The following is a 27,000-nucleotide window of genomic DNA, read 5'->3' on the forward strand; positions in this document are numbered from 1 at the left end:
CATTTTCTTTCTTTCTTTTCTCACTATCCTCCCAGACACCTAGAATGTGTGGGTTCCTGCCCTTCCAATGTGGCCTTTTGGATCAATTCTGTGTGATGAGGCCATTTTCAAGAGAGACTTTTTGATAGGGCTTAAAAACTGTAAAACTGCAAGTTCTTAACATTACTATACAACATGTGAAACAGATATTCTCACCTTATTCTGAACCTGTCCCATTCTCTGGTATTTCACTTCATTCTGAACCTTTCCCATTCTCTAGTACCAACCTTGGATTCTGCGAAAGATTTGGAGATGGAGTGTATCTAGAGGGTACCTTAGTTGGTAACAAAGATTTACCTTTTCATTTTCACCCACGTTTTGATATGACTGATTTAAATTATTTTTCCCCAAATGCCTGGCTTCAGAATAAGTCAGTTTACAGAAAAAAGAATTATATGCCCAAGAAATCATGGTGTAAAAAGTTCCAAGCTGGTTGTCAGGGGTCACCCCACCTTTTGATATACATTTCTTTTTGGCACCCTTCTCTTTCTGTGAAGATAAGCCTTTATCCCATGTGGGATGCTGTGAAGCACATAGCAAGGACTACTGGAGTCACCCTAAAACTTTTCTTGGGACAGAAAATAACTAGGAAAATTTCCTGTCATTTTCTTCTTCAGCCCAGCCACAATATATAAAAAGGAAAAATTGTAATGTTATTGGAAGAAACAGAAAAAGAAGGGAGCTCTGATGATCAAAACTATATTTGGATGTTTGCCCAAAGATTATGTAGAGGTCTTTATTAGTAAATACAATAATGTTGATAGCATATGTGTGTGTCATCTGAAATCTTACTTGTTCCTAAAGTGCTGATAAGATCTGCACAAAGCCCCCTTCCCATGTCCTGTGGAAATCCAAAGTGCTTTCCATGTTTCCTGTGGGTTCTTGGAAAGTGGGTGAGGGAATGGTGCTTATACCTCATGGGCTTTTCATTTCAGTCTCATACATCTGCTGAACTTCGGTAGGTTTTTAATTAACTTTTCACTTAATGCAAGTTGTCACTGTTTCCCATAATGCTGACCCAGATGTGGAACTTAGCTTTTTCCTATTATATCCACAAAAATTACATGCATATAGATGACACAAACAAGTGGAAACACATTCCATGCTCATGGACGGGAAGAATCAACATCATGAAAATGACCATACTGCCCAAAGCAATCTACCAATTCAATATAATTCCTATCAAAATATCAACATCATTTTTCACAGAATTAGAAAAAAAAATCCCAAAATTCATATGGAACCAAAAAAGAGCCCAAATAGCCAAAGAAATCCTATGCAAAAAAAACAAACCTGAAGGTATCACATTACCAACTTCAAATTATACTACAAGGCTATAGTAACCAAAACAGCATGATACTGGTATAAAAGTGGATACATAGACCAATGGAACAGAATAGAGAACCCGGAAATAAAGCCAAATACTTACAACCAACTGATCTTCAACAAAGCCTACAAAAACATAAATTGGGGAAAGACATCCTATTCAACCAATGGTGCTGGAAAAACTAGATAACTACATTTAGAGAATAAAACTGATTCCTGTCTCTCACCATACACAAAATTCAACTCAAGGTGAATTAAAACTGAAACTATAAAAATTCTAGAAGAAAATCTAGGAAAACTCTTCTGGACATTGCCTAGGCAAAGGATTTATGATTAAGACCCCAAAAGCAAATGCAACAAAAACAAAAATAAATAAATGGGACCTCATTGAACTAAAAAGCTTCTGCACAGCAAAAGAAATAATCCTCAGAGTAAAAAGACAACCCACAGAGTGGAGAAAATATTTGCAAACTATGCATCTGACAAAAGACTAATATCCAGAATCTACAAGGAGCTCAAACAAATCAGCAAGAAATAAAAACAAATAATCCCACTAAAAAGTGGGCAAATGACATGAGTAGACATTTCTCAAAAGAAGATATACAAATGACCAAAAAAAAAAAGAAAAAAAAAAGCTCAACATCACTAATCATCAGGGAAATGCAAATTAAAATCACAATGAGATACCACCTTACCCCAGCCAGAATGGCCATTACTAAAAAGTCAAAAAACAATAGATGTTAGCATGGTTGTGGTAAAAAAAAAAAGTAAACACTCATATGCTGCAGGTGGGAATGTAAATTAGTACAACCTCTATGGAAAATAGTATGGAGATTTCTCAAAGAACTAAAAGCAAATCTACAATTCTATCCACTACTGTGAATCTATCCAAAGGAAAAGAAGTCATTATATTAAAAAGGCACCTGCATGTGTATGTTTATTGCAGCACAATTTACAATACCAAAGATGTGGAACCAACCTAAGTGCCCATCAACCGATGACTGAACAAAGAAAACAGGGAATATGTACACCATGGAATACTACTCCGCCCTGAAAAAAATAAAGTAATATCTTTTGCAGCAGTTTGGATGGAACTGGGGGCCTTTATTCCAAGTGAAGTAACTCAGGAATGAAAACCCAAATACTGTGTGTTCTCACTTATAAATGGGAGCTAAGCTATGGGTACACAAAGGCATATGGAGTGGTATAATGAACACTGGAGAAAGAGAAGCAGGAAGGCTGGAAAGGGAGTGAGGGATTTAAAAAAAGTACATATTGGGCACAATGTACCCTACTCTGGTGACAGGTGCACTAAAATTTCAAAATTCACCACTGTACAATTCATCCATGTAACCAAAAATCACTCGTGCCCCTAAACTATTGAAATAACTTTAAGAAAGAAAGAAACCCAGATACTGCATGTTCTCACTTATAAGTGGGAACTAAACATTGAGTACACATGGCCACAAAGATGGGAACAATAGACACTGAGGCCTACTTGAGTGGGGAGGGTGGGAGAAGGAGGTTGAGGGTCAAAAAACTACCTATTGGGTACTATGCTCACTACCTAGGTGATAAAATCACCAAACTCTGGTAACACGCAGTTTACTCATGTAACAAACATGCACATGTACCCCGTGAACCTAAAGCAAAAACTGAGAAAAGAAAAAAAGTTACATTTATAAATTCTTGTGTGTAGAGAATTTCATGAAATTATGGGGGAACAGAAGTGTAGGTAGGGATTGAAGGACAACAATGTGCTTCATCTCAGAATTCAAACTATTTCACACATAATATTCCTGAACTTAAATGTCTTTAAGCATCAGGTATTTGAGATTAAAATTGAGAAAAATTCAAATTTTGAAATATTTAAATTATACAGACAAAAATGCCTAGTAAAATGAAGACCAATGTACCTGCGCTTAATGCTGCAATGAACTCCTTTTTGTTTTTCCTTGACACCTGTGTGATCTCATCCTGAGGGGATATACCTAAAAGCCACCTAAAAGCCAAGCAGTTGATGGCTGCTTCATCACTCCCAGAGCCCCTGGACTCATGGTACTTGCTGTTTTCAAATCTCTTCCTTTTTCATTTCTCTTCCTCCCTCCTTTTTATGTAAAATATCTCCTGAAACTCAAAATTATCCGTCTCCTCTCCCTCCCTTCCTTCCTCCCTCCCTTCCTTCCTTCCTTCCTTCCTTCCTTCCTTCCTTCCTTCCTTCCTTCCGAGGAATTCAGCTCTTTCTAGCTTTCACCCTAAGCTCAGTTCCTGGTTCATCTTTGCATATGTGATTCCATTAGGACATTCTGCAGGACAAAACCAAACCAAACCAAACCAAACCAAACAAAACAAAACTTTCTTTTAATAAGGCCATTCCCTTTAGAAAGCAGTTGTGATTGTAAAAGAAACTTGGTCTCTTCATTACTTTTGGGAAAGTAATCCATAGGATGATGATTTTCTATATCTCTTGGTCTAGGGGACAATCTTCTGCTTGTGAGATTTTGTCTGGAAAAATAAAATGCACTATTTATTCATTCAACATTTATTATACACATGTTTACCTGGCACTGTTCTTACAAGTGTGGCAGGATCACAAAGTTGAATAGGATCTAAATACCTCTTAATCTAGTCATGGAAATAAACATACAAGTAAATACTTATAATACTTAAAAAATTTTTCCTCCAAGTGTGAAACGGAGTACTGTGGAAATATTGAAAAAGGAATGTTAAATTTAGTGAGAACATGAGAAGTCTTCAAAAGAAGCAGCGGAAATAATAATCACAAGGTGTGGAGCCTAATAGTCTAATATGTTTGGAATTGACAAGGAACTGGGTTGCCAAATTTCAGAATCTTGGAAGGAAAATTGAGAAGCAGTAGCAAGTAAGGTAAACTGGTGCCAGATTTTGCGTGGTTGTATACACCAGGTTCAGCTGTTTGAATTTTAATCCATAAGCAATGGAGGAGCCACAAGAGTTTTAAAAATGAAGGCATTATTATATTTCATCTGGGTTTTTAAGAAAAGACTAACATCTGTCTGTAAACTCTGACAACTTAGGTCACTGTTGTGGTGTTCCAGGGGAGAATGTAGAGAAATGGAACTAATTTTGTTTGGGAGAAATGGATGAAAAGTAATCCAGAAAAATTTGATGACTAATGAGGATTTAGCATCATTAAACACAATGGTCCTATCTGTGTGTGGGATGAAAGGAGGGAAGGGTGGAGGATACAAAGAATCCTAACTTGGAAGGCTAAGTAGGTCAGCATGCCATTCTCCAAGAAAGGGAGTTTGGGAAGAGGAACAAGTCTTTACTGGAAGGTTATAAATTTGGTTTAGGCAACTCTTTTAATGTCAATTATTTATTAGGCACAGAATAAGAGTTGTCTGTCTGTGGTCAGTGGAACTATGGTTTAGTATTTAGAAGAGCTAAGACTTCAGAGAGAGGTTTTGGGGAGAGTTTCAGTATGGTCAAAAGTAGCAGAGAAATCTAGGAAGATAATACAGAATACAACTCATATGAAATTGGCAATTAGGGATCGTTGCAGATAATTTTCAAGAGCAAAGCCAGTGGTGGTATGGCAGAAAAGACCTTAGTTGAATGACTGGAAGTTGGTGTGGTAGACACTGCTAATATTGCAAATATCTACTCTCCCAGTCTTTGTCAATAGATCCTTGGTTTTATTCAAAGGGCCATGAGCAGCTAGGGATGAACATATGAGATATTTTTGGTCAATGAGACATATGTAGAAGTCTGTTGGAGATTTCTGAGAAAGTTTGTGGATCTTGACAGGCATTGCTTCTTTTCATTTTTCCTCTTTGCTCTTCCTGCTTCTTCTGTCCTAGAATACTATAAGAGACAACAAAGATGACAATGATTGTCTACACATTTAGGGTGATGAGAAAGATAGCATTGTGGAGCCCTGAACTGATTCTGACCAATCTGCCTCTAGAGACCTTCTTTTGTAACTCAAACAAACTGTTGAATAGCTTTAATCAGATAACCTAGGGCTTTATTAGTTGGGTGTCTTTTCATGATCAGAAGCTAAGTCCTCAAGTTGGTATTAAACCTGGCCATTGACAACAAAGAATCTCGGAGACTTAAAGTTGAAGGCAAGATCCACTTGCCATCCATTTATTAATTATTCTATGGCCACTGACATCAAAATAGTTTGGGGTAGCTCTAAAAATGCAAATGCCAGGTCATACCTATAGACTAACTGCATTGGACTATCTGGGAATGGAGCCCGGAAATCTACTTTTAATGCACTGAAGTTTGAGAAATACAGCATTGATTATGATTCTTCTGTGCCACTTTCAGATTCATGCATGTTCGCTACACTATACGCAGCCTGTGAAAGTGAGTTTGTGTCATTCCACTGGGGATGGATGGTTATGCCTATATCTGGATAAGTTAAAGAAACAATTAAAGAGCTAATTGGAAATCTAGTCATTAGAAAAGTCAGGCTTGGATGCTGACATGCTCTAGGTTGATTCTATAATACGTAACATCAATACCTAGTGCCTTACAAGTCTGTGAAGGAATGGGAGATCTTGAGGGCTACTGAATAACTGAAGGGAAAACAATTAGGGTGTGAATCTTTTCCTCTCCCTCCTCATTGAGCCCACAGGCACAGGCACATGTGATATCTCTGGGGAAAGCAGTAAGAAATATTCCCATAGAGATAAGGAAGGGTGGGGGGAAGATTGGAGTTCAAAGCAAAGTTGGATAGTTTCATCATCTGTGTTTTCCGCAATTAGTCAAGTTTTCACACCACACTATAGTTCTCGTTTGGGTCACTAGACTATTATTATATGCTTCCGCCTGCCATTTTAATTTTAAGTAACTTAGCAGATTTTTTTCTTCTTATGTTAACACAGGTAACATCTAGCAAGCAGTTTACATTGACCCTGTACAACAACCAAAAGTGGATGAAGTTTTGACTTGTTTATTTGTAGTTTCTTTCTTTGAACGTGGAGTGTCTGAAGAGATTTTTTTTCCAGTATGGTATGTTGTCCAAATGGAAATATTCTGCAAAGTAATGACATAAGGATAAAACCAAGATAGAGAGCTGACATCATTATGTTTGACAGAGCATATACAGGACTTATTCTGAAATTGAAGTGATCAAAGCTAACCTCACGAAAAAATGCAAACCCTCAAATGTTGTATGAAAATATACATAAACCAAATTTGTAAAGCAATACTAATGACATTTTTTAAAAAGTAAACTCCATCTAAAAAGACTCATCAGCTCCACTGTAGTCCAAAAGCTTGTTGGGTGGCAGAAATGATGATGATTAAAACCTGAGACGTCAGCAAAACTCTTTCACATCTTCAAAAATGTGAAAACAAACCTTAAGGCAAAATGTTAAAAATAGGCTCATTTTGGTGAAATGAAGCTGTTTGAATAAATAAAATTAATAGTTTTTATCTAAACCATCTGTGGTGTGAAATGGGAAGTCATATAGAAAAGTCCTTAGAGACTTCTGATCGCTCTACATTAGAAAGGAGAAGGGGCGGAGAAAAAAATGGGACCTCTTTCTATCTCTATGGGAATTAACAAAGTGATCAGCAAAGGGAAGCTGCAGGCCAACTTGCTCTGGTTGCAGGCAATCTGGCTTTTCCAGCTGTCCAGAAGTCGAAGGTAAATGTTCTGAAAACATAAGACCAGAATCATTTCAGTAAACCAATAGGTAGTATAAAGTAACAGATTCTCCTGGAAGTAAGGAAAGAAAGGAGGAGAGACAGAAAGAGAGAGGGGGACCTAAACTCCCAGAGACTTAGTACTATAAAGGACTGTCACTTCTGTTTTGTTGGTCTCCTGAAACCACATCATGAAACCAGATGTTAAAAATGGCCCAACTCAACAGCTAGAATGGCTTTGTAGGTGTAAGTATTTTGTAATAGTACCTGGAAATTGCAGTTTCATTTAGACACATTGTTCTTTCTTTTGTTCATGTATGAAACTCTTGCTAAGACAAGATTTAGGTTTCTGTGGGTCTATCTTGATAAAAAACAAAAACAAAGTAAAATATGAAATACCCCAGAATTGGTTCCAAATTTGTAGAGAGATGAATTCTGAGGATTTTCCTCAGGCTAGAGAAACCAGATAGTCCTCGCAAAGGCAAATCTAGTAAGATAAAAGTACAGGCTGCTTTTATACAGGACAATTTCTACACGTCTGTGCATTATACCAAGATGTTAGGTTTCTGGAGGGACTTTACCCATGGACCACAAGCAATGGGGATAACTTCGTTGGTTTTTGGGTAATCATAGTGGGGTCCCAACAGTTTGTCGAGGACCCCTCACTTAATTCATTGGCTTTATCAGATTCAGTCTTGGAATTGGTATACCCCTTCATCTCCCACACTTAGTTAACTCGTCTGAATAATCAAATAATTACAGGCCAATGGGAAGCAACCAAACTTATAAAAGAGCTATGAAGAATAAGTGTGCCACATGCTATCCTACAAAGCATGACAGGAATACATGTAAGGGATTTTTTTCCCTGCCCCTACCCTGGCCTTTCTTTGATTCTATTTAAAGCAGTATTGAGTATTTTTGGGATTAAAGGTTGAAGCTGTAGTCTTGTAATTTGATTAGCAACAATGTGCTTTAAATCCAGTGATAGAACTCTTGCTTTGCTGTAAGGTCTGAGGTACCTTTGGAGCAAGTAAGAGGGTGTATTTCTGTACAAACTGGCACTTGGCCTAATTTCTCAGTGTGATCAGGCCTCTGCAGAGAGAGTTCTTGCCCTAGAAAATGACCACAGTGCCCTTAAGCCCAGAGCTATTTTAGAACTTAGAACACTCAATGACTTATGGTCACAGATTAATTTTTAAGTAAATTCTGTCCTCTTGATTTTTCTTTGCCCCAGACTGGGCTTCAGAGCCAGACTCAGTGGGGCTGAGGCAAACGCACACCTTTCTTGTGTTCTCAATGTCTATAGTCACTTTATTTCTCTGATTGTAAGTGCTGAATTAGTGTTATTTCTCATCCCACTACCACCCCCCATTGTGATATGTGGAAAGGACCAGAGAGACAGCTTTAGGGTGTTCATGGTGGAAAGTGACATATTCAGGGATGAGCGGATGGCTCATTTGTCTGTACCTTGGAATCTGGCTGGATTTGATCCTGATTCAAATGTCAAGCATCAGAGTGCATCAACAGCAGAGACACCAAAATGAAGTTATTTAAAAGTTAAACGTTGGTAAACACCTGCTTGAAATGTCCTTGTAGACAGCTTAGCTTCTAAGCCACCTCCCTCCTTCCCCCAACCCCATGCCTTAGAGTGTAATGGAAAGTGCCGGCAGAGAAAGGGTTAAGAGATGACAATGTCCTTTTGCATCTGCTCTGACAACTTAGTCCTGCCTGATGCAATGCAAAAAGGCTGATATTAATCCCCCCAAAAGCAGTCATATTGGAAAGGCTAATGTGACTTTCACCACAACACTGGGCCCTTTGTAGTCTGATGTTTAATTCCATTGGAATGTTATTCTTTCCATTGCTTTTCTGACTATACTTGGATTTGAAACTACCAGGTCTTACTCCAGTACAAAACTCAATCTGCCTTGTGTTTGACAGACTTCAAAACATCCAAATCTGTTTTATTCTACGGGTTTCCACTGAATCAAAAAGCAAGGTGCATGCTTTACCAAGTAAGTGGCTTGTCCTCCTTCAGAGTTCTTGGGAGAAATCCCAGTTCCAGCGCTAAAGATGAATGGCCACTACTGAACTTCTCAGCATCCCACTGTGGGGTCTTTTCCTAGCTATATGGCAGATATGGCATGTGCCTGGCCTGAAGAAACAAAACATTAATTTTGGAATTCTGATGGCTTTAAACCTTTGATCATCACTTTCTAACTGTCTTTAAAACATTTTGCCTACAACAGTTGCAAGCTGTGGTTTTTTTGTCTGTGTGAGGTGACTAACAGTGCTACCGCTACCGCTCTCTATGTGGGGAATGTATTCATCTAGCACCCAAAACCACCTACTGGCTTCCGGCACCTCTTATCAGCTAAGCCATCAGCCCTGAGCTGACATTTCAGCATTCAGAAGCTCCCTACCCCCACCAGAAGTAAGTGACAGGAGGAGAAAAAAGCTCATTTGGCAATAGTTTGCTTTTGCTGTTTGGCCTGGAGAAAGACATTCAGAGTGGTAGAAGATTGTTTAGGAACAGCTGGCGAGCACCAGGGTGTGAGGCTGATTTTCAGATATGACAGCCACTTACAGGAATGCTGCCAGATACAGCTGTTTAAAAGCCTTAATAAACAGCAAGTCAATACTAATCTTTGCCAAATTAATCTTTTCCCTGACAGCCTATCAGAGCAATTATGTTTGGGCTTATTGTAAACATACAATTGTCAAACAGGGACGCTCCAGACTTTAAAATACTGTAGTTTGGTTCATACTCTTTCTTTAGAATGGGATTTTTGTTTTCTCTGTAGTATCGTAAGTCTTTCCATTTTATTTTCTAGTCACTGTTCTTTTCTTCTGGCCTCATGTCAGTGTGAATAAAATTTCACTTTCAAATGTCTTTGCTAGCAAGCTGTTAATAAAATGTGAAATGATTCCTGCTGGTGGGCTTCATTAATTAGGCGCAACTCTGACCGTGCTGAACTATAACAGGTCATTGTTCTCAGTTGTCTCTCATCCGGGAACAAGAACTTCATCTTCACTTCTTCTCATCTACTACATTGCAGGCTGATGCTGGATACAAATGACAAGATGTTTGGCTAAGTATGAAATGAGAAGGCAAAGTCTAATCTCTCTGTGTACACGTAGATTGCCAAGTGTGTCTAACTTGGGTTTGAAGTTACCTCTTCCTCCCGCGGCTCCCAGCCTTCCTCCTCCGTGGTTGGTGAGGTTAGGGGGCTCCCCATCCCCTTTCTCCAAGCAATGGTCTTGTGTACAGATTTGGAGACTTTTTTTTTGTTAGGAAAGGTTTTCCACACTGGGAAATCGTTCCAAATAAAAGTAGAGAAATCGCCTTTGAAAATCCTAAAAAATAGAACCAGGAAATACAGTCTTTTCCTTGCTTCACCAAGTCATACTAACACTTGGTAATTAGAAAAAAAAAATTCAGTATCCTGTTCATCAATAGTTTAATTTAGAATCCATGAAACTTGTCTCCTGAATGTTCTCTCTTGTGTTTGACACCCTACATGTCTAGCACCTCTTTTCTCCCTTCTTATTTTCTTGGTGAGACTAGTGTGTATTAGATCTTTTACTTTTGTCACAAATAGAAAAGCTCTTGTTCAACTATGTAGGCCAAAAAAATATGGCATAACTCATTTTGAAATTCTTTCAATCTTTTTGTAACCCTAGGTTTTTAATGAAACATTTGCATCTTCACTCCTAATGCTTGCCTGTAATATTCAATTCCCATCTATATTTAAAGAGCCTTTAAATCATCAAGAAAACACCATACAATTCCTGTTGAGGATAATTGATGATGTTTTATTGATCTTTCTTTGTATCATTGCATTTTTTGTGCATCTACTGTGTGCTATGACATTCCAAATTGTTTTGGAGATAAGGAAATTGTTGAATTTCAGGCAGACAAAGAGATTTTTACCATGGGGTGACTCACATGAATTCAACCATTAAGTGGAAGGGTGACTTAGATTTAGAGGTTAAACTCATGATACGAATTTTTAACCTTGCCTTGCCACTATTTTAATATTTAATAATCAGCAAAAGAGATGAATTTTCTGTTTCTATCCTTCCTTGAAAATAACAATTATGGCTGGACACGGTGGCTCATGCTTGTAATCCCAGCACTTTTGGGAGGCTGAGGCACGTGGATCGCTTGAGCCCAGGAGTTCAAGACCAGCCTGGGCAACATGGCAAAACCCTGTCACTGCAAAATATAGAAAAAAATTAGCCAGGCGTGTTGGCATGCACCTGTGGTCCCAGCTACTTGGGAGGCTGAGGTGGGAGGATTGGTTGAGCCCGGGAGGTAGAGGTTGTGGTGAGCCAAGATTGTGCCACTGCACTCCAGCCTGGGTGACACAGTGAGGCCCTGTCTCCAGAAAAAAAAAAAAAAAAGAAATAAAAGAAAAAAAAAGAAAATGACAATTATGAGTGGAATAAGAAAATGTAGGTCAAATCTCTATTTAACGGATAAACATGAGGACGTCTATGTTTAACAAAAACTTTCTGTTCCAGCAGATAACCTATTTATTACAAATGTTCATATGAATTTTTTACTATAACAAAGAAATATGAATGGCTATTGGGATTTACTGGTAATTTAAAATATTCCTTGTTTAATATAACATACCTGTCTAGGACTCATTCTAAGTGGGGTACCTTGTAAACAAACATAATTGATTATTCCTTTGAGCATTTTCTCCCAGGACTTTGTAAAGTACTTCTAATTCCATTTGAAATTACATATCAAGTTATGGTCAAAACCCCATTGTCTCTAATTCCCACACCTTTTGGTTGAATCATATGAAATTACCATTTCATAGATAAAACAGGTCAAATATTAGCAATTTCATATGGTTCAGTCTAATCACTTTTCCAATGAGTGGGACAACTCTTTTGCAAAGGGCAAGAGATCCATAGAAAAGGGATTGGTTGTTGATGTGCTAATTTTAAGTCATGCATTCATAAGTTTAAGAAATATCTTAGTAATGAATCTGAGCCAGAGTATACATTGACCCTTGATTAACAAGGGTTTGAAGCAAGCAAGTCCACTTATGTGCAAATTTTCTTTCATCTCTGCCACATCTGAGACAGCGAGACTAACCCCCTTCTTCCTCCTCCTCCTCAGCCTATACAATATGAAGAAGAGGATGAAGACCTTTATGATAATCCACTTCCACTTATTGACACTAGTTAATAACTTATTTCTCTTCTTTATGATTTTCTTAATAACATTTTCTTTTCTCCAGCTTACTTTAAGAATACAGTATATAATACATAAAACATAGAAAATATGTGTCACTCAACTGATTATGTTATCAGTAAGGCTTCTCCTCAACAATAGGCTATTAGTAGTTAAGTTTTGCGGGGGTCAAAGTTGCATAGGCATTTTCAACTGCGTGGGTGTGGGGAGGAGTTGGTGCCCCGACCCCTGCATTGTTCGAGGGTTGACTGTATTGCTTTGGTGGCCACGGCTTCCCATGGACTGCTTGTGGTCCATGCAGACAGGCCTCTTTGCGTTTAACACAAATAATAAAAATAATCACAGAGACCAACTTCATCCTTGGCTATAATTTGACTAACTGGAAGTCATTATTTGACTCATTTTGCCTTATCAACTCGGTCACATTTGAATGGGAATCAGGATTTTTGAATTATTCTTTCTTAATCATTTCTCGATTATGTTAGAGACACAACTCAACCCACTCCTACACACTCTCGCAATTTTTTCTTTTTCTAATCAGCTATAATTTTGGTTTTGGTGTGTTGGTGAAGAAATCTGTCGTTCCACAGTGTTGCTGTTATCTCTCAGAATGACTTTACTGATGGTGCTGGAAATCTTCGGAGTGCTTCAGCAGAGAACTCGGCGTGCACCCCCACTGTTCCTCTCAGCTACAAGCTCCAAGCCGCTGGGCTACTGTGCCCAGGGTGGATTCTGGCTTTCTGAAAGATGGGGATTTCCTAGGCAACAGCTCACTATACTAGAGCCTCAGGTTAGTGAGAGGGCATTCTCAGAGTTTCAGGAAAGAACATTTGTGGCCATGGCGGCCATTAACCCCCACTCTGCCCGATCACTTCCACCATAAAATTTATTTGGGATTTCTCATCTGACTAGGCTTGCTTTTTAGAGACTGATGGATCACCAAATAGAATACGGTCACGCATAATAACAGTTTTATTGATGATGTGTTTTCTTTTATTTACATTTGTTTTTACTGTATTTGGTATTGAATTTCAACACTCTCTACCCTGGTCGCACAGCTGCTCTAGAAAAGCTGTAAACAACACGGCACTGTGCTTTCCTGCACAAACCGCCTGTCAAAGTCAAAGCTGCTCATTCTCCTCCCAGTAATTACCTTCTCAGTTTAGACTTAATGCAAGTGAAATTTTTACTTTATCATAATATAATAAATAAAAGACATTAGTTAATTAGTAGTGCTGGTATATTTCTAAAATACTAAACAGACAAACAATAAACTGTGAACTTAATCACATGAGTTCTTATACAGTTTCAAGACAGGAAAATTAGAGCTCTCAGCTACAGTCATTTTAATAATCACATGGATCTGCATTATTTATTAGTTATTACATGCTCAAGTGATTCAAGGTTGTACAATGCCTAAAATCATTCCAAAGCAAGCATACCTTTTGTCTGTTTAATTCTGAGTGGATTACACAATGCATATATTTGTATTTAGTTAAACTGCTAAATTTATTTCACATATTCCAAGAAAGAGACATCAGCCATTCTCTTGGTTTCCAACCAGACTAACTTTCTTGATATGATCCCCTAAAAAGGAGTAAATCTGCTAGCTTTTTCTTTTTTTAATGTGAAAGCTATGCAAGCCCTCAGGCAGATTCTCAAGCACTTTTGGTTCCCTAGCAAATCTCTGGTACCTTAAGAATCCTCTTGGAAGACCCAGGAATTCTGGAATGAGTAGTAGCTTGTAGAGGCACAAAAGACAGCAAGAATCTCAATTTCTATCAACAGCTTTCAAATTTGGATGGCTTTCCCTTTTCTTTTGCTATCTGGTTACTCACCTTTCATTTTTAGATGCTTCCCTTTCACTTCTTCCAGCCCCTAGTTCAATTCTTAAATGCTTTCTGGATTTTGTGAAAAGCATGCAGCTTGAGGAAGTTTGGTTTGACTTTTACTTTTTTGCGGGGGGCGGGGGGTGGTGGTTCAGAATTGACTAGAACCAGCTGAGAACCAAGAAGTAACCTTTTTAAGACAGAGGACCTGTCTGTTTGTTTAGTCTTGGAGCTTGTGTGACTTGGAGGGCAATTCTGTTATGTCGTATGAAGAAATAAAGTTCTTAAATATAATAGTTTTTTGTTTGCATCAACCAAAGAAATGCAGAAATAAGGACTGGTTACTTTAATTTGCTGCTAAATGAAAAGCAGGTTTGGCTTTATTCATGTTACTGTAAAAACTAAATAATAAAGTATTCACACCAAGCGTGAATTTTTTTTTGCCAGCAAAAGTTAAAACATCAAAGAAACCTCTTTCAAATACTAACAAATTTACTTACAAACACCTATATTTATTATTTCATAAATAGGCGCAACAGGTTCCATAAAAAAAGATTAAATACAGACACAGTATGAAGAAACAATAAGACAGAGCCATATGTAAAAGTTGTAATTTAGCTGTTTCCAATCTGTTTCTGCATCTAATAAAATACCAGGTAAGCATTTGGCAGTTTTATACATAAAAGGACTTAAATGACATTTACTAACCATTACACAAAAAGTGATACAAAAAAGCAATTTTTCTGCAGTACAAAATAAATGTGTTTGCGCTTCCCTTAATACTAGTTTCTTTTTGTCTGATCAATGAGACAAAGCCAATTTGTTTTTAAATTAAAATCACTTGGGAATACTTTTTATTTTCAAATATTTTGAAAATATAGAACTATCAGTCAGTTGTTTTAAAAATGAAGTAAAAATATGAATGTTTGCCAATTTAACCCCTATTGTGAAATCAATAAACTGGAATGAGCCAGTTTCAATTACAATTTAGCTACAAAAACATTCACATTTTATACTCTAGGAGAGTGTAACATAGATGCTATTTACAAACTTGCTATGACTGCTACATCAAGCCATTTAAAAAGTCTTTAGTAGTTTCATATAAACACCCATTATGAAAACCAATGGAAAATCCAGGACTTTTATCCGAGACATCTACAGTTGCTAAGGCAGTTACTAGAGCGCAGCACTTCACAGCAAAAAACCAACATAAAATCTGAATGGTCCAAATTTCCTTCAGGGAAGAAGAAAAACAATGTCCATAAAGGATTAAAAAAATAATAAAGAAGCATGACTATTTCTTCCAGAGTGGGTGACCCACAAGCTCAAATGGTCCTAAGTGCTTAGCAACTTGTATTTTCTAATAAAATGGAGAACTGCCTTGACTGTACAAAGCAATCCATGGTGAAAACACTTCCCTGAATTCCTCAGTGGAAAGAAGAGGTGTTCAGATTCTCAAGTAAGGTACAGTGCTTTGTCCCTCTGCATGCCCCTGTAGGAAGAGAAAAAAGACAGTTCCTTGTTACAGGACAACCTGTGCTACAGGTGACAATGGGGGGATGGATGTCTTTGAATTATTTGCTCCAGCTTGAGCTGTTCACTGGGAAACTGCAATTAGTTAACCTACATCTGAAGTGAGAAGTGAGCTAAAGGCATTTATTCTTGGAAGAGCTAGAAGACTGCTTAACAATTTCTGGTGTCTTCTGCCTTCATGAACGTGAAACTATCCCGGATCATGTTTTTGGAAACAAGAGAACGATCAACTAGGGACGATATGCATGCTATGAGCGCTGTCCACCACCAGGTGGCGATGACCGGCCGCTTACCCACTACTGCAGTAGTCGTTATTCCAGTCCACCGGTTGTGGGGGAGGATTTCTGCACCCCGAACGCACATACTCCATTGCCTGGGTGACAACTTGTGCAGCTGTAGATGTAGGATTGATAATAGTCTGATAGTCGGGTTGAAGAGTAAATCCCTGAAAGGGAAAGCAAGTCCGCAAATAAGGATCAAAATGCATTTTAAGAAGAAAAGCACCTAAATATTTATTCATTCTTTGCAGACACACTAGGCCTCTTGCTTCTGTCTCTGCAAGGGCAAGCCTGTCGGAAGAGCCCAGAAAATTTAAAACAAAGGTAGAAAAGAAATGCCCACAAGTCCATTCTTCTTACCTTTCCTTCATTTAGCCATGAGTCAGAAAACCTTTAATTATACCCTTGAGCAGATAAATTGAATTGAGAAACAATTTCAAATATAGAGGAGCCAACTCAATCAAAACAAAGGGAGAAGAGGGCCTAAACCCCTCAAAGTTTATGTTTTCTATCAAACCTAAGGATACATTAATAGTTAATCCCCAGAATATGCAACAGAATCTTTTTTGAAGGATTCAGGCAGCAGGTGGCTGAGTGTTTTATTAGACTACACCTATTCACATATTGTTCTCAAACCTCTTTTTCTTCATTCAGTCACAAAGGGACCATCTGCTTCTTCTTTTATTTGTATTTCTCTCTCAGCTAAAAAATTTCAACCAAAGCTTTTTAACAGTTGTTGGACTAATACAGGGAAAAGAGATTCAAAACGACTTGCCATTGGAAAACACGGGGAGGGAAAAGTGTACGACAGAGCAAATATTTTTTAATTGAAAAGTCTATTAACTGGCAAACAATAATCAGACTTCAGGAAGATTCTTCTAATACACTGGCATGGTGAAGTGTTGACTTTTAATCCTAGCGAAGCTATTAAAAATTCAAGGACAGAATCTCTGAAGTGTATAGCTATATCTGGTAAACAAAAAGCATTCTATACTAAGATTTATTTTTAGCTTCTCTGGTGAATTCAAGATCAACATAAGCAAGTTTTTCTGGAAATGACCAAAAAGGCAACTTAATTAATCTCATGGTTGTCTCCAAAGCAGATTCCATCCATGATTTTTAACCACTAAGAAATCAAGAGATTAAAAAACAAACCATTCTCTATTTACTTGGAGAAAGCTTTTGAAGCCATAATATTGTTGAATTTTCACTTTTAAAGAACTCAGCAGGATGACAGGAGGATTGATTTTTAACTAGGGATACCTCCTTAGACTTTTATTCATGTTTGAGTGTCCCTCGTGTAAAGACTCGAAGGCACCTATTACCAAATATTCTCATTTCTCATTATTCAGTTTTAGATATTAAGTTTATTTCCTATTCAAATGATAAAGACTTCAAGCCAACATCACCACTGATTCCCACACAAGCTGTGGACAAAGACAAAACTCTGAATGACTGGAGACAAATCACTGAAAAATGGACAATTCAACCAGATTGGTTACTTGATCTCACACAGACTAAAAGAAATTCACAGCTTGTTTACGGAAAATAAGTTTGTCTGTGTAGATATGACCTGTTCCTCAAGCTGTAAATATCTTCCAAAATATTTCCCTAGTGTCTAGTTCGATGCTGGGCGAAGGACAGGAGAAAACTCTTGAGAGGAGCCTTGTCTTGGCTTCCTTTATTCAGCCTCATCACAAGGCTGCTGTAAGCATCTTGAGATCAGAGAGTGTTTCAAATACTTACTGGGTATTCTCAGGGCCTAGCCCATAATAGTGGCTCAATAAATCATGTTTTTCATAAGTAAAGTTTATTGCAGACTGTTTGATGCTACTGTTGGAAAGGTGCAGGGTATATAAATGATTAAATGTCAGGGATTTCCTATCTTTTTGTTGTTGTTAGAGACCGGGTCTTGCTCTGTCACCCAGAATGGAGTGCAGTGGCATGATCATAGCTCACTGCAGCCTCAAACTCCTAGACTAATGCAACCCTTATGCCTTGGCCTTCCAGGTAGCTAGAACTACAGGTGTGTGCCACTATGCCTGGCTAATTTAAATTTATTTATTTATTTATTTATTTATTGTAGAGATGGAGACTTGCAATGTTGCCCAGGCTGATCTTGAACTCTGGGGCTCAAGGGATCCTCTTACCTTGGTCTCCCAAAGTGCTGGGATTATGGGCATGAGCCATTGTAGCCAGCTGCTATCTTTTTAGTGTAAAGTTCTCCATATTGGATTTTTGTTTTGTTTTGTTTTTGAGACAGGCTCTTGCTCTGTCACCCAGGCTGGAGTGCAATGGCACCATCTCGGCTCACTGCAGTCTCGACCTCCTGGGCTCAAGCGATCCTTCCACCTCAACCTCCCAAGTAGCTGGGACTACAGGTGCTGCCATTATGCCTTGCTAAATTTTTTTTGGTGTGCGTGTATGTGTTGTAGAGACATAGTTTCGCCATATTTCCCAGGCTCATTTCCAATTCCTGGGTTAAAGCGATCCTCCCACCGTGGCCTCCCAAAGTGCTGGGATTACACGAGTGAGCTACCATGCTTGGTCTCCATATTGGAGTTTTACACAGTTGACAAAATGTAACCTAAAAGGAAAAAAGTCTCAAAAAAGAAGTAGTCGAGAATATATTGACTTAGTTGACAGCGTGGAAACATATGAAAAAGCAAAACACAAGCACAAACAAATAAACCCAGCAACCACACGAGACCAACCCACCCCCTTTCGCTGCCCTTCCCCACACAAAGACCACAGAAACCGCCATTTTTTCCCCCCATCCAATGAAAATAGTTCTCAGGTTGTAAGAAAACATTATTAGTTTAAGATTAAATGAGTGACTTCAGTTTACAAAACCAAAATTATGTGTTAGCTACAAAGTTCAAAGATTTAAACTTCAGCTAACTTCAATGTCTATTTTAAGATCACTAATATCAAAACAAGGACCGAGAAACATACAAGCAAAGCCTGAAGTAATATTATTTCACATTATTTTACTTTCTTTCAATTTAGCAAATGACACATTCCTCTGAACACTATAAAAAGAGATGCTGAGGTCAAATGTAGCACTCAGTAAATATTGATTATTGGTGTAAATATGAAACAACATGATGACACACACTTTTTGAAAAAATGTTTGCTTAGTAGTCTAATTAAACAAGACTGAATATTTTGCATTTTAATACTCAGGAGAAAAATCACCAACTGTTTTGTAGCATGCCTGGAATTTTAAATTTCATTTTCTGGTGCCAGATTGAAATAAAAATAGGAAACATGATAAAGATTAATTTGATGTCAGAAGGGACATTTGCTCTTTAATTAGATTTCTGCAGCCCTCGCAGTTTTGTTGTGCCACCAGAGCAAGTCCGAAAAAGCCTGCAGCACAACCAAACAGTGATCCTCATATCCACACTTTACTGGGAACTAATTTCATTTCCTGCCTGTCTGGAGAGGTATTTTCAACAGGCATCAATGTTTTTGTCTTCACAACTGATTTATTCATCAATCTCAATGTGATTTTTTTTAAACCTTTAAATTACACCCAAATCCTAAAGCAGCTGTTTATTACACAAGGAAATTGAAAATCTGTCTGTGTGATATCATACAAAGATTTTTTCTTAAGGTTATAAAGGAAGTTGACAGATATTAATGATTTTTTTCTCTTGACCTCATTCGACAATCTCATGAGCAGAAGAAAAGAAAGAAAACTGGACAAAAAAAGCAGGTCCACGGTTTCAGTGTATAAAACATTATTCTAGAAAAAAATGAAACTATTATTCCTGGTGGACTACACAATCATTTTTGTAGGATACATTCATTTTCAAAAGGATAATAAAATAGCTAAAGTAATATTGGAATATGAGACACTATTTTAAAAATACAGTTGCTGTTAACGTTCTTCTCTCTCTGTCTCTCTTTCTCTCTCTCTGTCTGGTGTTTGGATGTGTCCACATGGCTCCCACATGAGGAAGCAAACATCTTCAGCATAAAGGTGTTTTGAATGATGAATCAGGTCAGATTTTATCCACAACTCAGGTCTGCATCTACAGGCTGAAGACTAACTGATGACTCGGATGTGGGCCCCAACAGACTGTGGCGGTGGCAATAAATGAAGTGATAATGTGGAGGGGTGGTGGACTCCCTTTTTGATCCTGATTTTAGGATTATCAGTTCTCTGGGGATACCAGTCCCCTTCACCTGCAGGATCCCACTCCAATTCCCTGCCCTTGACTCTGACCTTGCCCCTACCTCTCTCTTTATTCCCCTCCTTTCCACTGGCCTCCTTCCGATCTCCTGGACAGGCCATGCTCATCCCCAGATTGGCTCTCCCAGCTAGAGTCCCCTTTCCTGGCTGCTGCTGTCTGTGGGAACGTCCTCCACACCCTTCCCACTTTCCAGTATTTAAAGCGTGCTTCCTCTTCTCATCCTTCAGGTCACTGTGCCAGCCCTTGAGAAGGGCCTTCCTTGTCCATCCTAGCTAAAGGCTCTGTCCTTCCTGCATGCACCCTGAAAGTCTGGAATTCTGTCTTCCAGTTTTATTTTTTTCAGGGGACCTTCGTTATTTGTTTATCATATCACCACTGCCATCCCTCCCCTGCCAACTCCACGGGGCAGGGGTCTCATGACTTGTTCTCACTCATCACTCAATTTCCAGAGCCTAGATAGTGCCTACCACATGTTAGGGGTTCAATTAAAATTTTTCGAATCAATTACATTTTTAAAAACTTCCAAGGAATTGAAATTGAAATTCTACTACCTGATCTTTAAATCCTTCTAACAGTGAAACACTTTTACTGCTCATTTGTTTGTTTATTTGTTCACTACTCAACAATTATTTTGACTACTTACCATGATCAAGGCATTGTTAAAAGAGTTCTTAGTCAATGTAGTCTTTGGAGCGATTTAATCTCCATTTTGGGCTTATGCCATTTGGGTAAATTGTAATCAGGTCTTCCCATCTCAGCAAGCATACTTTTTGGGATACACTAACAGAACTGACTTAAAGGATGATGAATAACTTGTCCAATGTAATCTGTTCTATTTTTTCTTATACAGTTAAGATTCTATATGGAAAGACAAATCTCTTGGATTTTTACATGTGGTCTTATGTAAATCTGAAATATTTGAAAACTATTCAGGATCATGGCCACATCATCCAAGGTGTTTGTGTTAGCATAAATAGAAAAAGTAATCATCTCTGATTGATAAATCAGAAAAAAAGATCTCTGCACACAGCTCCAGCCCGCAGCATGGTGAGGAAACTGAACTTTTGGTTTTTTTCCTTCAGGAAGAAACAGCCCCCAACTATAGCACTGTAAGCAAAACATGGGTCCTTAGCTAGGCAGCACCCTCAAACAGGGGCCAATTACCCAACCAAGGGTGGCATCCTCCAAACCATTAATTCTTCATACAAACACTACTGGTTCATTAAGATGCATGGATACCCAAGTATGTCCCTTTAATTGAAGTTGATGTCTGATGGGAAGAGTGGGAATTTGACCCTCAGAATATAACTTGGTCATATGCCTCTTAAGACAAGGCAGGGTGGTGGGAAGTGGCTTTCTACGTACTCTTCTTCCCCAGTGAATCAACAACTGTCTGTTGGATGCAGATAAGAAAATCATCATAGCTTTAACAGTATCTTTGGCTTAGGGACCAAGAAAGACTTCAGTAAGAAGATAAATCCCTTTGTTCTTCATAACGACTTTGATTTGAGAAGTAACCAGAATTTAAAGATCCTTTGAATTCTTAGGAGATACAGGTTTTCTCATATGAAAGAGTTAAGAGTCTACAAGAACGACTGTGAATGAGATGCAGCAAGCCTAGCATTTTAGAATCCAGCCTCTGAGTTTTGAACAGACCTGGGTTTGAATTCCAGCTCTGACCTTATGAGCACATGACTTAACTCTGCCAAGCCTCAGTGTCTTCCTCTAAATGAAGATAATGCTCATACCCACACTATAAGTTTTCTGAGAATTAAAGAAGAGGTGGTGTATTAAAAGCATTGGGCTTGTTACTGTGAGCTCTCAAAAATTCTGTCAATAATAATAGTAGTAATAATAATAATGAATTGGGGACTATGTATATTTGATTTCTTTTTCTGCCTCTCCTTCCGCTTCATCTCGATCCCAGTCCAACTAAAGATTCAAATTCCACAGAGAGGTAGACATCAATTCTATAGGAAATCTGTGTTTGCCTTATATCCTTATAGCTTGGAGAACAATAGAGTAATTGGAGTATATAAGTGATACCTGCATTTAATGTGATTTGTAGTTTTTACTTTTATTTATTTTTTTAAAAAATTATATTCAGTCTCCATAGAGACTATAAAAGATTGCCAGTGTCAATTATACTGCAAGTTGTCATGGCAGGGTAGTGGGAGAAGCTTTCAACTGGCAATAATCACATCTCAGATAAACTTTATTGGCTATGATACTGCCACTGCGCAAAGCTGCTTTTATTTTTTAAAATAAAATTTAAAAAATAGTTTTAGGATTTCAGGATGCCTTCTGTTCAGTTTAGTTTATATTGTTTGAGCCTAATTTTCAAATTTTAAAATAACACCAAAATCCAAAAGCAATATTTGATTTCAAAGAAAAGTTAAGCTAAAATTGCACACAAATGGTTTCAATAATCAGGGAGTGGGTAGGGAGGCTTCCAAACAGCCTGTGTTTTTCAATTTATGCAGAAGCCAGATATCCATTTTTAAATAAAACTCTGGTTAAAATGTTCAGTTCTTAGGACTTTCAGGGTTCTACCAGATTTGGTGTTGGACCTGATTTCATTTTTCAGCATTTATTGGACTCAAGAGGCATACCAGTCAAGACTTTCTCATCTCCAAACAATATTTTTTAAAAAGTTGTAGAATTCTCTATTCCAAAGAGATTCGGCAGCACTTGGTATCTTAAAATAACAAATGTACTTTACTCAAGAAACAGAAAACAAGAAGAATGATTAGAAACATGAAGCAAAATGGATATCATGGGAAAGAAACCAGTGATTATGAAAAGAAGTGACTGTCAATTGTGATGGCATAATGCCACACGAACTCACCACTTGTAAATTACATTTTACAGAAAGCAGATATTTGTTGAATATCTTTAGTGCTCTCTTGACTTAAATAGAAGGATAGAAAACACATATCCCCAATCCTGTCCTGGATAAACAGCTCCCCCCACCTCCACCACCACACTTCAGAATAGGGGTGCACACTCTAAGTCCAGAGCCATTGCACTTACTTGCTGCATGGTGGGTGAGTGTAAGGCAGACTGGACCTGCATGGGGAGCTGGTTCCCAAGGGGCTGCTGCATGGTGAGCGGCTGGTGCTGCTGCATGTTGAGATGCTGGTGAAGAGGCGGGCTGATCTGGAGGGGAGGAGGAGGGGACACAGCCATGTTTGCTATAGAGACAGTCACTGGCATTTGGTTATTCGGCTTGGGGGCTATGTTCCTGGGGAGACTAGGATGCATGGCAGTTAGGTGAGGATTCATTCCCGGTTGTTGGTGATAGTGGGAACTTAGGTACAGGGCCGAGTGGGCCTGGCTGGGCCCATGGAACACCGACGGCTTCGAATTGATCAGCTGAGGAGGTTGAGATGTCTTCACGTCAACAGGTTCACTGTAGCTCTGTTGAGGAAATAAATGAGCAGAGTTGGGAGGCTGATACATGAGTGTTGATTCAAGGTATGACGCTTTGTGAGTTTATTAAAGCACCTTCCCTGGAATCCATACCCATGACTATCCCGGACTCTCTGATCTAAGAATTTCTTCACCATTATTTGTAATGTGATTTATAGAAGACAGCTTCTATCCCTTTTAGGAAATTGAAAACAATCTGCAATGACATTTTGTTCCTTTGCCTAAATGTTTTTAACTCGGTGACTTTTCTCATTATCCAAATGAGGGTGACAAGATGGGTTTGTGGAGGGTGGGGGACGGGAGAAGGCAGATGCCGTGAATGCCCAAATGGGAAACACACGTGAAGATTACTTTCAAAGCAAATCAGTTCTGGAGTTCTTCTATAGATTATAGGTTTAGTTTTTAATTTTTCCTTTTTTATATTCTCAAAGAGACTTGGCCTAGATATTTGCACAAAGAAAACAAAGCTGGTTGATGGAAATGGATATGGGAGAACAGAGTTCTAAAATACCTTTCTGAAGTCATATAAAACTACATTAATATACTCTTCAAAGTAACTGCAGAACTTATCCTGAGTTTTAAAATGAAGTTGGTGATGAATTGTCCTCCATAATGAAGTAGATAAAAATAATCTCTCTTAGAAATTTTAGACTCCATCATAAATTAATATAATTTTGCCCTAATTTTTTCCGCACCTTCATATGATCATTTCCTAATAATATTTTAATTGATTTTAAAACTGAACATTTCAGTAAAGGCTGAAAAGAATCAAGAATTAACCCTGTGGCAATTCCTCATGGGCCTGAACCTACCTCCTACATTTCCTGAGAGGAAGAGACTGATAAAACAACCAAAGGTAGCAGGTAGAACCAACTGGAAGGAAAAAAGTGATAAAATGGATTGGAGAAAAAAAATCACTTTGTCAAAACAAGGTCTTGAGGACGCATATATGCTTTTACTCTGCAATCTCAATGTCATGCTTATTCAGCTTTCAAGTCAAAGTGAGTTTCTTACTACTTTCCACACTGCAGGGAGAACTGTGCCATGAGGGCTCTCGGGGTCCTTCTGCTCAATGCACCACCGGGCAACCCACTGACAGGCCCTTAGAGAAACGGGTTCATCATGCACGACAGCGTGAAACTCAGGCCGGGTAGCTTCATTATCACCAGGCAGCTTACATTACGGTTAGCAACACAACTCATTTGTCTTCAATAATGCAGTCAAGTTTCATGAAAACCACAGTAAGAATGATGCTGTGTATGTCTGCTGACTCCTGGGGTGACGGGGACAGGCTGGGGTGGGTGGACGATCAGCCCCACGTTCTGTCATTATAGAAAGGACACATCTGACACCTGTAAAAGTATGCCAAACCATGGAAACCTGGGGTCCTGTGAGACTCTGAATACTCCACGCACAGTATAAAGTAAGGTGTACTGAAATAATTCCAGCCCCTTTGGAGAGTCCTCTCATTCTGACATTTTCCCCTGTGTCACACTGTTGATGCAGCTTTCTGAAATAGGAACAAACATATAGACTCCCTGTCTTCAGTATTAACATTAAAAACATCAAAAACTGTTCATGCAAAAATTTTAAGGGGAGGTTTTAGATCAAAGAAGCTTTATTAAATGTAGCTCCTAAGAGGTGCTTTTCATTAAAAAAAAAAAACAAGTTTTAAGTAGATTTTTTTTGGCTTCCATTTAAAAATTCTTATTGTTGATGTGCAAAATAGTTAACAATTCAAGGAAAAGGTCAAATGGGTTAATCGAGCCTGTGTAAACAGTGACTACTTCCACATCAGAATAACATGTACTGCAATTCATATGCCTCAAAAATTATTCCGTATATGCCAGAAAGATTATGTGTTAAGTCTGTGTGTTTAAGTAATCTGGAAAAGTGTTCGGTATGTTTGAATTCCCTCTTTTTAGCCTATTGCAGAAGGGCTAGTTTCATATTTAGTCACAGACTGTGTTGACTTCATACCAGAAAGAAATCATATTTATAAAAATGGATACATATTGGTGCATCTTTATTTTTTGCTTTATAGGTGTTGTTTTTAATTTAAAAATAATACAAGTCACTCACATTCTTGTATGATCAAAAGTAGAAAATATGTGTAACTGTAAAAATGTTTTCATTTTTAATTTCTATATATAACATATTACTAGATAATGAGGTAAGTTTTGGCTAAAGAAATAAAAATATCGAATTCAAAATAAACAATGAATTTAATTTTCCTGAATTCTACTATTTAAATAATTGTATGTGGTCCATCATATAGAGAGATGATAGATAAGCAGAGGTAGAGATGGAATAGATGTACAGATTTACAGAAGTGAACAGATAGCAACCTAATTTGAGATACTTTATTACCAACCTTGTAAAGCTCTCTTTTTTCATGGATAATTAAACACAAAACATTTTCTCTATCTAGCCACTTATTTGTCATTTATGTCCTCCATATCAAAGCACACAAAGACCAGTCCCCCTCAACCTACTTTGAAAGAGTAGTAACTTTTAATCACTAGAATAACTATTGGCAAACTCAAAGTAAATAGAGTTCCAAAGATAATGATTCAGACAACACTTGAAACATAATTTTTAACATAGAGGGAGGGAGAATTTGGGGAAGTTATATATATTTTCCCTTTATTTTCTAATCATTGACTGTGACAACAGAAATAACGTATCCAGCCTTGTGCCTGAACGTGGCAGGTGCTCCAATATAAGTTATTTTCCTGTAGTCTCTTTTCACAAAGATGTCCTGATTCCTCCAAAAGGGCATCTTTTTTTGATGGTAGGGACTTGAATTTCTGTAGCCCACGCATCTACCATAGTGCAAAATACATAAAAACACAATTATGTTTTCTAAGGAGTGAATGACTATTCTTGAGCAATCCTCCAGGCAGCCACCATTGCCCTTGCTGACTTGCCCTCTTGACCAGACACACCGTTCCTCTTCCCATGGAGTGAGGAAGGATCTGAAGGCTTGGAAAAGCCACAGAGTATTAGATTGACCTTCCTCATGCTCTTCTCTGCTCTCGGCAGGACCCAAACCCTTCCTGAAGTGATGAGAAATTACAGCTTTCCGCTCTGTCCTTTGGTTAGATACACTGCCCTTTATGCCTCACTGGTCTTGGGGGAATGGCAGTAGCAGGGCAGCTAGTTCAGTCTCACCCATACTTTGGGAATTTGTATGTTTATGTAATGGTCCACTCATTTAGATGAGGAAAAACCTGCTTCTGGCTTCGCTTTTCATTAATTATTAAGCAGTCTAGTACAATAGACCATCTATTAATTACAGAGTTATTTTATTGTTCTGGAAGATAGGTAGAATAAGTTCATTTTCAGTGGCAAACTGCCATAAATTCATAATGTGATTAAATGAAAATACATAGAAATCATAATGTACTCTTACTGTCATTTTTTCCCAATTTAACTGTGAAAGCAAGGCTACAATTTTGCTGATCAATTATATTGCATATGAAGACTTCTATACCTATCAT

At 38.1% G+C, this 27,000-nt stretch overlaps 1 protein-coding gene and 1 pseudogene across 1 annotated transcript in view, besides 1 other annotated feature; both read right to left on the reverse strand.

The window, feature by feature from the left end:
* TOX (thymocyte selection associated high mobility group box) overlaps positions 13,173–27,000 on the reverse strand; it is a 313,736-nt gene continuing 299,908 nt past the window's right edge. Inside the window, exons 7-9 of the mRNA NM_014729.3 lie at positions 23,099–23,485; positions 15,879–16,030; positions 13,173–15,544 (exon numbers count right to left, since the gene is read on the reverse strand). Of these exons, the coding sequence (NP_055544.1) occupies positions 15,508–15,544; positions 15,879–16,030; positions 23,099–23,485 (576 nt within the window). The 3' untranslated portion in view covers positions 13,173–15,507. The remainder of the gene's footprint in view (positions 15,545–15,878; positions 16,031–23,098; positions 23,486–27,000) is intronic.
* Positions 15,711–16,005: an enhancer, noted in NCBI's record as "tiled region #1495; HepG2 Activating non-DNase unmatched - State 12:CtcfO, and K562 Activating DNase unmatched - State 12:CtcfO". NCBI's record gives its function as "activates a minimal TATA promoter and a strong SV40 promoter by Sharpr-MPRA in HepG2 and K562 cells {active_cell/tissue: HepG2 | K562}" and the evidence as "EXISTENCE:reporter gene assay evidence [ECO:0000049][PMID:27701403]".
* Positions 22,173–22,313, reverse strand: RNU4-50P (RNA, U4 small nuclear 50, pseudogene; annotated as a pseudogene).

Source organism: Homo sapiens, chromosome 8 (genome assembly GCF_000001405.40).
Source record: "Homo sapiens chromosome 8, GRCh38.p14 Primary Assembly".
Taxonomy (NCBI): Eukaryota; Metazoa; Chordata; class Mammalia; order Primates; family Hominidae; genus Homo; species Homo sapiens.